This window comes from Homo sapiens, chromosome 12 (assembly GCF_000001405.40).
Source record: "Homo sapiens chromosome 12, GRCh38.p14 Primary Assembly".
NCBI lineage: Eukaryota > Metazoa > Chordata > Mammalia > Primates > Hominidae > Homo > Homo sapiens.
Window position 1 is genome coordinate 28498852 of NC_000012.12, and position 14051 is coordinate 28512902.

Genomic DNA, 14051 nt, shown 5'->3' on the forward strand with positions numbered 1-14051 from the left:
TCTTGTTAATTATCTTTTCCCCCTACTATAAAATATAAGCTCTAAAAGAGAAAAGACCTCATTTGTTTTGTTCACTGCTGTATTCTCAGTATCTAGAATAAGCCTGAAACATAACAGATGTTTAATGAAATGTTGCTTAATGAAGGAATGCCATTAAACATTTATCTAATCTAACTCTGTTTGTTCAAATTCCTTGCTCACTAAGCAGCTTTCTGATTGTGATTTGTTTCTAGCATAGGGGAAGCTTTTATGGTCAGTTTTATGAACTTGAGTTATTTCAAGTCTTCTCTTAAGAAAAAGATCTATGCCTGGTATTTTGATAAATCTGTACCTGCATAGCTGAAAAATCAATCCTTGAATGTAGTAAATTCACAAACGTAAAACCACCCTGAGCCTGAGCAACTTCTGTTGGTTAAGTAGTATACATTTAATTCCCTTCTAAGCAGATACAGTTATTAACAGTAATGCAAAGAGTTTTCACTTGGAATATATGGCACCTCACTTTTATTATTATTATTATTATACTTTAAGTTCTGGGGTACATGTGCAGAATGTGCAGGTTTGTTTCATAGGTATACATGTGCCATAGTGGTTTGCTGCACCCATCAACCTGTCATCTATATTAGGTATTTCTCCTAATGCTATCCTTCCCCTACCCCCCACTCCCTTACAGGCCCAGATGTATGATGTTCCCCTCCCTGTGTCCATGTGTTCTCATTGTTCAACTCCCACTTATGAGTGAGAACATGCAGTATTTGGTTTTCTGTTCTTGTGAGAATAATGGTTTCCAGCTTCATCCATGTCCCTGCAAAGGACATGAACTCATCCTTTTTTATGGTTGCATAGTATTCCATGGTGTATATGTGCCACATTTTCTTTATCCAGTCTATCAATGATGGGCATTTGGGTTGGTTCCAAGTCTTTGCTATTGTGAATAGTGCTGCAGTCAACATATGTGTGCATGTGTCTTTATAGTAGAATGATTTATAATCCTTTGGGTATATACCCAGTAATGGGATTGCTGGGTCAAATGCTATCTTTAGTTCTAGATTCTTGAGGAATCGCCACACTGTCTTCCACAATGGTTGAACTAATTTATACTACCACCAACAGTGTAAAAGCGTTCCTGTTTCTCCACATCCTCTCCAGCATCTGTTGTTTCCTGACTTTTTAATGATCGCCATTCTAACTGGCATGAGATGGTATCTCATTGTGGTTTTGATTTCCATTTCTCTAATGACCAGTGATGATGAGCTTTTTTCCATATATTTGTTGACTACATAAATGTCTTCTTTTGAGAAGTGTCTGTTCGTATCCTTCGCCCACTTTTTGATGGGGTTTTTTTTTTTTCTTGTAAATTTGTTTAAGTTCTTTGTAGATTCTGGATATTAGCCCTTTGTCAGATGGATAGATTGCAAAAATTTTCTCCCATTCTGTAGGTTGCCTGTTCATTCTGATGATAGTTTCTTTTGCTGTGCAGAAGCTCTTTAGTTTAATTAGATCCCATTTGTCAATTTTTGCTTTTGTTGCCATTGCTTTTAGTGTTTTAGTCATGAAGTCTTTGTCCATGCCTATGTCCTGAATGGTATTGCCTAGGTTTTCTTCTAGGGGCACCTCATTTTTCATTGAGGATCCTGCTTACTTTAGATACATCATCTTCTTTGCTTCAAGGCTTCTGCCAAAAATAAATAGTTTAATGATAAGATATGAGTCATTTCTCACTAGGCTCATACATAGCACCACAGAAGGTATTGGCAAATAGCTAAATAAATAGATACCGTTACCAAGTTTTGAGTCTAATGAAAATTTATCTACCTATTAACTTTGGTCAGTTTAGCTATTTCAAGAACTATGTCTTAGAGTATGTATTTACTGTATAAAACCAAGTAAAAACTTAAAAGATTCTCAGAATAGATGTATTCCATAGATATTTGAACTGCATTATCAACAGTCAGCACTTGGAATGTTCCCTGCCCTCCCCCTATTATCTCTGAAGCCATAATTTTATTTTTATACTCAATCTGTTAGAGTCTGATAAGTGTATGATCTGGCAAATCTTTCATTTCAAATGAAACAAGTCATAGAAATTCTCATATATACTTCAGGTTCTTCAATTTTTTTAAATGTGTAAGGCTATTAGATGCCCTTTATATAGTCATTCAAGAGTTACCACCATTTGCTGAAGAATACACTATTATTTAACTATAGTGGTTCATAGTAAAATACAAGTGATTATAAATTGTTTTATACAAATGGTGATGTAGCACCAATTCTATAAGAAGCACTCTAGTCATCAGCAAACAGGGACAATTTGATTTCCTCTTTTCCTAATTGAATACCCTTTATTTCCTTCTCCTGTCTAATTGCCCTGGCCAGAACTTCCAACACTATGTTGAACAGGAGTGGTGAGAGAGGGCATCCATGTCTTGTGCCAGTTTTCAAAGGGAATGCTTCCAGTTTTTGCCCATTCAGTATGATATTGGCTGTGGGTTTGTCATAGATAGCTCTTATTATTTTGAGATACGTCCCATCAATACCTAATTTATTGAGAGTTTTTAGCATGAAGGGTTGTTGAATTTTGTCAAAGGCCTTTACTGCATCTATTGACATAATCATGTGGTTTTTGTCTTTGGTTCTGTTTAAATGCTGGATTACATTTATTGCTTTGCGTATATTGAACCAGCCTTGCATCCCAGGGATGAAGCCCACTTGATCATGGTGGATAAGCTTTTTGATGTGCTGCTGGATTCAGTTTGCCAGTATTTTATTGAGGATTTTTGCATCAATGTTCATCAAGGATATTGGTCTAAAATTCTCTTTTTTGGTTGTGTCTCTGCCTGGCTTTGGTATCAGGACGATGCTGGCCTCATAAAATGAGTTAGGGAGGATTCCCTCTTTTCTATTGATTGGAATAGTTTCAGAAGGAATGGTACCAGTTCCTCCTTGTACCTCTGGTAGAATTCGGCTGTGAATCCATCTGGTCCTGGACTCTTTTTGGTTGGTAAGCTATTGATTATTGCCACAATTTCAGAGCCTGTTATTGGTCTATTCAGAGATTCAACTTCTTCCTGGTTTAGTCTTGGGAGGGTGTATGTGTCGAGGAATTTATCCATTTCTTTTAGATTTTCTAGTTTATTTGCATATAGTTGTTTGTAGTATTCTCTGATGGTAGTTTGTATTTCTGTGGGATTGGTGGTGATATCCCCTTTATCATTTTTTATTGCGTCTATTTGATTCTTCTCTCTTTTCTTCTTTATTAGTCTTGCTAGCGGTCTATCAATTCTGTTGATCCTTTCAAAAAACCAGCTCATGATTGTATATCTAGAAAACCCCATTGTCTCAGCCCAAAGTCTCCTTAAGCTGATAAGCAACTTCAGCAAAGTCTCAGGATACAAAATCAATGTACAAAAATCACAAGCATTCTTATACACCAATAACAGACAAACAGAGAGCCAAATCATGAGTGAACTCCCATTCACAATTTCTTCAAAGAGAATAAAGTACCTAGGAATCCAACTTACAAGGGATGTGAAGGACCTCTTCAAGGAGAACTACAAAGCACTGCTCAATGAAATAAAAGAGGATACAAACAAATGGAACAACATTCCATGCTCATGGGTAGGAAGAATCAATATCGTGAAAATGGCCATACTGCCCAAGGTAATTTATAGATTCAATGCCATCCCCATCAAGCTACCAATGACTTTCTTCACAGAATTGGAAAAAACTACTTTAAAGTTCATATGGAACCAAAAAAGAGCCCACATTGCCAAGTCAATCCTAAGCCAAAAGAACAAAGCTGGAGGCATCATGCTACCTGACTTCAAACTATACTACAAGGCTACAATAACCAAAACAGCATGGTACTGGTACCAAAACAGAGATATAGATCAATGGAACAGAACAGAGCCCTCAGAAATAACGCTGCATATCTACAACTATCTGATCTTTGACAAACCTGAGAAAAACAAGCAATGGGGAAAGGATTCCATATTTAATAAATGGTGCTGGGAAAACTGGCTAGCCATATGTAGAAAGCTGAAACTGGATCCCTTCCTTACACCTTATACAAAAATTAATTCAAGATGGATTAAAGACTTAAACGTTAGACCTAAAACCATAAAAACCCTAGAAGAAAACCTAGGCAATACCATTCAGGACATAGGCATGGGCAAGGACTTCATATTTAAAACACCAAAAGCAATGGCAACAAAAGCCAAAATTGACAGATGGGATCTAATTAAACTAAAGAGCTTCTGCACAGCAAAAGAAACTACCATCAGAATGAACAGGCAACCTATAAAATGGGAGAAAATTTTCGCAACCTACTAATCTGACAAAGGGCTAATATCCAGAATCTACAATGAACTCCAACAAATTTACAAGAAAAAAAACAAACAACCCCATCAAAAAGTGGGCGAAGGACATGAACAGTCACTTCTCAAAAGAAGACATTTATGCAGCCAAAAAACACATGAAAAAATGCTCACCATCACTGGCCATCAGAGAAATGCAAATCAAAACCACAATGAGATACCACCTCACACCAGTTAGAATGGCGATCATTAAAAAGTCAGGAAGCAACAGGTGCTGGAGAGGATGTGGAGAAATAGGAACACTTTTACACTGTTGGTGGGACTGTAAACTAGTTCAACCATTGTGGAAGTGAGTGTGGCGATTCCTCAGGGATCTAGAACTAGAATTACCATTTGACCCAGCAATCCCATCACTGGGTATATACCCAAAGGACTACAAATCATACTGCTATAAAGACACATGCACACGTATGTTTATTGCAGCACTATTCACAGTAGCAAAGACTTGGAACCAACCCAAATGTCCAACAATGATAGACTGGAATAAGAAAATGTGGCACATATACACCATGGAATACTATGCAGCCATAAAAAATGATGAGTTCATGTCCTTTGTAGGGACATGGATGAAATTGGAAATCATCATTCTCAGTAAACTATCACAAGGACAAAAAACCAAACACCACATGTTCTCACTCATAGGTAGGAATTGAACAATGAGAACACATGGACACAGGAAGAGGAACATCACACTCTGGGGACTGTTGTGGGGTGGGGGAAGGGGGGAGGGATAGCATTCGGAGATATACCTAATGCTAAATGATGAGTTAATGGGTACAGCACACCAGCATGGCACATGTATACATATGTAACTAACCTGCACATTGTGCACATGTACCCTAAAACTTAAAGTGTAAAAATAATAAAATAAATTAATTTAAAAAAGACTCCAACTCCAAAAAAAAATAAGTATATTCAAAAGAATCATATTAAATTTGTAATTACAGTTTAAATGGAAGGGAATTTAATGAAATTTGTAATCAATCTTTGAATATTAAAAAAGTTTCAAAAAAAAAGCACTCTAGTAAGAAGAAAGTTTTTGTACAATCCTATACCAAGAAAATGTTTCCCAATACTTTTATTGACAAGAGTTTTGAGTTCTGTTGCACAGATTTTATTTATTCTATTCATTCATTAACAAATATTTGTTGAATATTTATATACTGGCCATATACCAGGACCCTGAAATGGGAATTAACCAAGCTCTAATGGATCAGAGAACACTTCCCAGCATAGTAATTTCTAAGCTAAAATTTTAAAAATGACTTCTGTCTCCACTTCCCTCATATCCAATACATAGTGAAATCTATCTTCAATATATATTCAGAATCTGATATATATTGCTGTGAACTCTTATCAACTCTTGCTGTCACCACTGTCCAAGCTATTATGTTTTGCCTGATTTCTACAAGAGCCTCCTAACTGGTATCCTTACTTTTACTCTTACACTTCAAAGTCTACATGGCTCCTTATGTTTGCTTCTTTCTTTCACAAGCTACGTATGTAGGCATGCTTATGTCACTTAAAATATTCTTACGCATCTGTTTCACTTATATTATAGACCAAGAAAAAAATGCCGTGTCTGGCAGCTAACTGACTTAAGTGAAGTTTAGTAGAACAGTTTCTCTGTAGTTATAAATTTACCTGTAGAAATTCTTTTGGAGTTGTCATTTCAGTTTTAGAAACTTGCAACAAAAATGACAGATCAGTAGTGGCACTTACAGAAAAACCTAAACTATACACTTCAAACTCTAAAAGCTATTTCCAATAGTACTGAAAATAACAATGGTTACCCATTGTAGTATCTGCGGAATGAACTAATTTTCACCTTATGTTTTTTAATAAATAGTTTGCCAAAATATTTGGCAGAATTATTCAGCAAGGACCAGAAAATCTTTGCCCTTCTTTTTAGTTTTTCCAAATTTCCCTGCTCAAAGAATCATTACTATTTGCCTTTTTTCTAATTTGGGATGCGGGAAAACTAATGGAACGCTGAATTTTGTATATGAAGTGATGGGAAAGAAAAGATTTTTGTACCCTGCACTGAAATCCCATCTTACTGGCTTCTTCTTATTGCTACCTACCGGAGAGAGGCATAATATTCCATGTCCTTGAAAGAGTTATTCTGCGAATCGAATGCTACAGTAACTCAGAGAATTGAGTTTCGTCTACGGCCATACCACCCTGAACGCTCCCGATCTCGTCTGATCTCGGAAGCTAAGGAGGGTCGGGCCTGGTTAGTACTTGGATGGGAGAGAATTGAGTTTCATCTTTCCACATTAAAAAATGAAGTTAAAGCATCTGTAAAGCAAAACCCAAAGTGATTATTCATTTCTTTCCTTGTTTAAGAAACATGCAGTTACTACTGCTGCACTCCTCTCCTAATGATCCTGATGCCAGGAATTGCAGATTCAGATTTACCACACAGAGTCTTGACCCACAGCTATACCCCAAAGAGCAACCACATCCAAGACACAGAAGTGAAGCCAAAAATAATGAAAGCTTCTGTATCTGAAAAGATTCTTATTTAAGATCTCAGGTGAGCCTATAGAATTGTGGACTCAGGCAATCAAACATCAGTCAGACATTCAGTTTCTTTTCATTTGCCTTGTATTTCTTGAAGTCCTACCAAGAAGTGCTCCAACGGAGAGCAAACAGAGATGACTGCTTAAACAGCACCTTTGCGCCACAGGAAAATTTCCTTTAGGTAAACAGTGTTTCAATTCCTATGTAGATTTCACTGTATGTGGATGTGTATTAGGGCTAAAATCAAAAAGCAAATTAATGATTACACATATTTCTGGAAGCAGAGACAAATTACTAAGTCTTATTTGTATTTACTTTAGTTAAACAGTTTAAATGTTTGATGTGAATGTGATACATAGCTACTCTGTATCTATAGGGTCCTTTAATTGCAAGCAATAGAAACTGAATCAGACTAACTTTAGGAAAAGGGAATTTGTTGAAAGGTTATCAGAGGCATGATAGGAAGCTGTATACCAGACTTGGTAATGGGTAAAGAAGCAAGACATCTTTGGAAACTCAGAGGCAGCAGCAGCCTTAACAGTGCTCTCATAATGAAAAATAAACTGGCCAGGGCACCATTACTAGGAATGAACAAAACTAACCATTCCTGCATCTTTGTTTCTCCACTGACTATGTAAATTCCAAGGAGGAAGCATCTAATTGAACTAGTTTGGGTCACATGCTTGCCTCTTTGCTAGTGAAAGGCAGGATTCCTAGTTACAGTCCAGTGAGTAAGAATTAATTCCCCAATGGAATTCAAATTGTCATTAGGAAGGAGAAATAAATGCTGGAAGCTAAAAAGCAACAAATGTTTAACACAGCCACTATTTATTCATTGTGTATGGTTTACCAGTCACTGTGATTCATGTGCATTATCTCATTTAATGCTTATAACAGGGCTAGTAGTTCAGATCCTGTTATAATCCTCATTTTACAGGTAAGAAAACTAAAGCTTTGAGAAAGGTTAGATAGCTTGTGCAAGGTCACACCACTAGAAAGTGGCAGAATCAGAACTTCAGAGAGAACACTCATAAAAGCCATACTTCTCTTGACAGAGCTGTGTATTAGCATTGATGATAATATTTACTGAATCTGTCCTTCAGGGGTAAAAAAAAAAAAAGACAAAACCAAAACGATAAAAAACATGGTATGTAGATAGATCAAATCTACCAGTAGTCACATAAAACGTAGACATTCTTTATGGGAATCAAGCTTTGGGAATAAAAGTTGTGTAAATGCAGAATTCATATATGTGCAGATAATTTTTCTCTGATGCAAATTCATGATTTAATTTCTTAATACAGTGAATGATTTGAATATCTTAGTGAAGCACAGTCTTGAGCCTGCAAATCAAGCTTTATAAATAGGCTTGTATGTTTCTTGGTTTATAGAGAAGAGATTAAGGGGGTAAAAAACTTCCAGTGTTCTCCAGTTACATAGTTATTGCCATCTGGAGATGCTAAACAATCTTAGTAATCCCAAGAATGAAATGAGATAATGAGCATAATGTGGCTGCTAACCTCTAAACCACACTTTTGTAACCTTGGCATAATTGACATTTTGGACCAGATAATTCTTTGTTGTGGGGGCTCTACAGTCACTGTCCCATCTGTAGCAGCATTTGGTGGCCACCACCCAATAGATGCCAGTAGTAGCCACCCCCTAGTTGTTACAATCAAAACAGCTGACTTCAAAATCACTGCCAGTTTTCTCAATGACATTCTTCTAATCACTAAAGTAAGTATTCTGTTATAAAGATATTTGTCCAAGGGATTTATACAAACTATTCTGAATATTTGTCAGTTGTCTTTTCTTCCTTTCCTCCCTACCCTTGCCATTTTTCTAAATTCATCTTTGGAGAAAACACTGTTTACCATTGAACAGGATGTTCTTCCTAATTCCTTCCAGCTCTAGGAGTTAATGTCTTTTACTGTGCTGTATCCAGATTTAATAATCAGCTGATACTAGGTACTAGTACAGTCTTACCAGTTTGCCTTAGGTCAGATGCCTTCAAAAAGGGCTCTGTGATAGAGATTCATGTGCAAAAAATTCATTAGGGAATGCCCTGAAGTTCAGCACCTATCGGGGTGGAGGAAGTGTAGGATCAGGCAAAATATAGTTGCACAAGGGCTTCAGCTGATCCCTTAAGGAGCTCTGGAGCTGGGATGGCCCTTCAGGGTTGAATCACCTTGGGGAAAGGGGACTGATCTTTTGTACCCATACACTGACCGTTGATTGGTTGGGGGAGGCTCTCAGGAAGAGGGCGTGACCTTGGCCAAGGTAGCAGTTGTTGGAGAGGGACTCAACTGAGTACCACAAACCACTACTTCCAGCAGCTGGAGAAATTAGTACATTAGTCCTGAAGGCAGGCTCTGAGTAGTGCGCCACAGGCCATGTTTTGTACACTCAGATCCACTTCCTCTATATAATAAGTTCTTGTAACAGCTCCTCTATGATCCTGTTAGTTTCTCTGGTCTTTTCTGGGGAGACTTAAAAGAGAAAAGTTAGTGGGAAAAGCTGTAACTCCTGCTACAGCTGTTCTCAGGAGCCAACTGATTCTCATCTCCCTTCTCTGTTCTTTTTTCTGGACTCCTCTTATGCTTGGTTGAACTCTTGTTCTAGGGGTTTACCTGATGGGATAGCACAGACCTGTATCCATGGGACCTATAAGGCCCTGGGTGCTGTATTATGGCTATGACTGCTGTGCTTGTCTATTTACAGTCAAAATTAGGCAAGGGAGTTCCAAGAGATACCCTACTGGATCACTTGGATGCCAATCATAATTTTACTTTATCCGATTGTGTAACAGCCCTACCTCCTTTTATTGATCAGGATCAATTACCTTTGCTTTATTTCCCTGTATAGCGTTCTTGACATGTGGAGCCTGAAGTGACCAGGTGACAGTAGTAGCTAAAAGTGTAATGAAACTCATTCTACTGTTTCCTCTCGTGGAAGCATTCCCCCTCCAAGAGTCAGTACCTCTAAAGCCCAGAGTTTGCAAGGGTGAGAAGCACATATTATCTGAGTCAGTTATTAAGAATGGCGATAAGTAAGTAGGGCCACTCTTATTTCTACCCCTCGGTTCCTGAACCCATAAATTGTACTTCTGGGAAACATAGGAAACATAGCTCTATTTAATGGTTATTGATATACAGTGTATTCTGTGACCTAGAGAGTGGATTACAGGATATGATCTCCAAGGTGAAGTCTTAGCTCTGCCTTCAATAGGCCATTCCATCATTCTGTTAGGCCAGTAACTTCTAGTTGTATAGTCTGTGATAAGACTTCTATCTGCCATAGCAGTTATGGCATTTCTATTTCACGTAATGTGGACTGCTTTCTGTATGCTTCCAGGAACCACCGTAGTTGTGTCTTAGCATCCTCTCATGTAGTCTTTCTGGGGTGCTAAATCCTGTGAGAGAATGTTCCCATATCAATAATCTCTCCATTATGCAAACACAGGTTCTGTCTCCTCTTGATCTAGCACTCTCTCATACGTAGTCTCCTGCCTCCTGTGGATACATGTTGGCTAGGTCCTACAGTTCATTTGATATATACTGCCTTTCTAAGCTGGATTATGATGCAACTTGATTCATGGCATTGGTCTGGGATCCAAATGAGGAGGTGCAAGGTAGATCTTGGTGGCAGGATAGGGGTGGTAGTAGTGGAATTGCATGTGTCATCATGAAAGACTGAGTATTATTTATTATGTTTAAACAAAAGGGAAATGCTAGTCTCTAGGTAGGAGTATAATACACATCAACAGTTTAATAGAGCTTATTTCTGGATGAAAACATGAGTGACTTAAAGGGTTTTATTTATATCATTTTTTAAAGTTATCTTTAAAAATAATTCTCTGTAATCATTGTATAATTAAATATACATTGTATTTAAAGAGCCATATATAGGCTGCACACTGTATTAAAAGATATGTGTGATAGCCAGCTAGGTACTATTCGAATGAAAATATTTGTATTGCTCTTCAGCGCTGATGATTATGGGAACAAGAGAGTGGGGAGAAGAAGGAAACATAAAATTTCTATTTATTACAAGTGGGTATTAATATAGTAGACTCATGTGTAAAGACTATTTCTAGTCCAAAATGTTTGGTAAGGGAATATTATTTTCCCATAGATATGAAATCCATATCTCTTGATCCAAGAACTCACCTCCTATTTCTGAACTGGTAATAGTTTTGCATGCTCTAGTAATGCATCAGTTATCATCCTTGAACTCTTCTTTCTTGAGAGTATGATTATCAGGCAAGTAGGGGTACCCATGTAGAAGGGAGTAGAGACACCAAGGGCTGAATCTTGAAATTGCAAAGGATGGAGAAGCTGGTTTTTGATAATAAATTGAAATAAAAGAGTTTCCCTGAAAGTCTTTCATGCTTCTTACCTAACATGAAATTATTTTCAAATAATTAGACTTTGAAAAATAGTTGGTATATTAGGATTCTCCAGAGAGACAGAGTCAATAGGGCATGTGTGTGTGTGTGTGTGTGTAGAAAGAGATTTATCATAAAGGACTGGCTGTCATGATTCTGGAGGCTGAGAAGTCCTAAGATCTGTAGTCAATAAGCTGGAAACCCAGGAGAGCTGATAAGTGGTTCCAAAGGCCTGAGAAGCAGGAGAACTGATGGTGTAAATTCCAGACTAAAAGCTGGAAGATTGAAATCAAATAAGGGCTTATGTTTTAGTTTCATTCCTAAGACCAGAAAAGATCAGTGTCAGACAGGAGTTCCTTCGTACTCAGTCTTTTTGTTTTAGTCAGGTCTTCAATCAATTAGATGAGGCCACCACATTAGGGCAGGCAGTCTGCTTTACTCAGTCTACTGATGTAAATGTTAATCTCATTTATAAACACCCTTACAGACACGCCCAGAATAATCTTTAGCCAAATATCAGTATCTCAGTTTAGTAGATACATAAAATTAACCACCGCAGATAATGATTTTTTGCATAAATTCATTTATCATGTATTTATTGAACCTCTGTCTTGTATTTAATCTTTTGAATAATATAAAGAGCTATGAGATAATTTTTTTAGCTGGAGGAACATAACATCCAAATTCCTCTCTTAAGAATAGTTTTGGACATGGGCTGGGAAGAAAGTCTTAGCATGTTCAAAACAGAATTCTTGATTTCCACCACCCATCACCTGCCACATTTGCTCCTTCACAAGACTTTCTTTTCTCAATAAATGGCACCAGCTGCACAAACCAAAATCCTAGAAGTTATCCTTTCTTCAAAGCTCACATAAAGTCTTCTGAAAAGGTCGACATGTGTACTTCATAATAATTCTAAGTTCATCAGCTTACCACCTTTCTTCACTGTATCCCCTGTAGCCCAAGTCACTATGAACTTTCACCAGGTCAAATCTGTCTTCAGAATATCTCTCAACTATGTCACTTATCACCATCTCCACTACTGTGTCACAAGACCAAGCTACCATTATCTTTACTAGGACTACTCGCTTTCACTCTTTCACCCACTCCCACCCTACTACAGTACATTTTCCATACAGCAGCTAAATTCCCAGAGCATAAATCAGATCACGGCATTCCCATACATGAAATCTTCCAAAGGTTTTCCAAATGTCACCTCTTCAGAAAAGCCATTTATGGCCAATTTAGGCCAAAATAACTGCATATTATCCTCCCTGCACCTGGCATGTTGTACCACCAATGCATTATTTTTTTTCCTAGCACTTATCAGTAACTGTAATTATCCTATTTACTATTTCAAATGGTGGTCGTCTGTTTTCCCCTCAAGAAGAATGAGGGGCCTTAAAAGAGCCATGTGGTTCCAGTATAAGCAAAGGTGCTGGATAGTTTGTAGGCACTCATTAAATATTTGCCGATTGAATGAGAATGGAGGTCACAGCAAGGATTCCTCTTGCCAAAATACTTGTTCTTTTCAGCAGAGTCTGAGGAAAAGCTGTACTTGTTTTGTACTTTGTTTTATGAAGGAGCTTCTGCACTGTGTCTGCGCACTCATATGTCAATTTTGTGTTGGAAAAAAAATGATGTGGTCCTTTGCTGTCATTTTATGCGGCTGGCAGGCTTCTGTTTCCACCATAACCGGGAGCTTTGCTTGTTGCTGGCAGATGAGCATGATTATCAGCCATGAGAAAATAATAAAAGGCTCTCAGTTCTAGGATACTCTAGGACTTTTCATGTTTTCAATGAAGTAAATTAACTCTGTTCTTTCATTTTATGGAAATGGCTCTGAATCTCATTAAAAACACACATGTATATGACTAGATGGATTTTGGGACTTACCATCTTGTGTTCATCTTATTTTTAAAAAATCTCATTTTTAAAATTCCAACCACTTTTGCCTACTCGGAACACTCATATTTGGGTTTCTATGGTGCATTCCTCTGCGAATAGGTTCTTTTTTCCAGTGTATTTTCCTACCTTGTGTACAAATGTCTTTTTTGTATTTGCAAGGGAAAAAGTACCATGCCAAGCACCAAAGTTTAAGCTTCTCCATCAATATTACTTTTTCATCAGTTTTTTTTCCCCTTTTCCCAAGGGAAAAACACCTTAAATCAGCATGAAGAATATTCTCTGTAGCTCATGTGGAGTCTGATTTAGGACAGAAATAAGTGCATTCCAATTTTCCTGTTTTCTATATTTTCTTTTTCAATGCCATTGACTCTTTCAAGCAAGACATATTTACTAAGGCCAGCTATCTATCTAGCACAGTAAGACGTATTGTGGGATAAAGCAGGGGTCAGCAAAACATGGCGAATGGGCCAAATCCAGTTTGCCCGGTGTTTTCTTAAATAAAGTTCTGTTGAAACACAGCTTCACCCATTTATTTACGTATTATTTATGGCTGCTTTTACATGCAACAACAGCAGAGTTGAGTAGTTGTGATGGTGACCATATGGCCTACTAAGCCTGAAATATGTTCTCTCTCTTCCTCTACAAAAGTTTGCCAGCCCCTGGTGTATAAAGCATGACCTCCATTCCGATAGGGTTTATGAACTAATTGGGTTGCTTGTTAAAACACGAAGCAATTACTGAATCAATAAATGCCAAGTTGTATGGTACGGAAGGGATTCGATGCCACAGAATGGTCATTGGTTAGGAAATAAATCTCATTTATAGAGAACTGATTAGTTAAGTATGTCAAAATG

At 37.5% G+C, this 14051-nt stretch overlaps 1 protein-coding gene and 1 pseudogene across 37 annotated transcripts in view, besides 1 other annotated feature; both read left to right on the forward strand.

Moving 5' to 3' along the window:
- Positions 1-14051, forward strand: part of CCDC91 (coiled-coil domain containing 91) — a 359711-nt gene that overhangs the window by 308396 nt on the left and 37264 nt on the right. The window lies entirely within an intron of this gene.
- Positions 6170-6339: an enhancer, noted in NCBI's record as "experimental_27646 CRE fragment used in MPRA reporter constructs". NCBI's record gives its function as "activates a minimal promoter by MPRAs in K562 erythroleukemia cells, with activity observed for both the introgressed and non-introgressed 12:28658039 variant alleles {active_cell/tissue: K562}" and the evidence as "EXISTENCE:reporter gene assay evidence [ECO:0000049][PMID:34662402]".
- RNA5SP355 (RNA, 5S ribosomal pseudogene 355) lies at positions 6543-6632 on the forward strand (annotated as a pseudogene).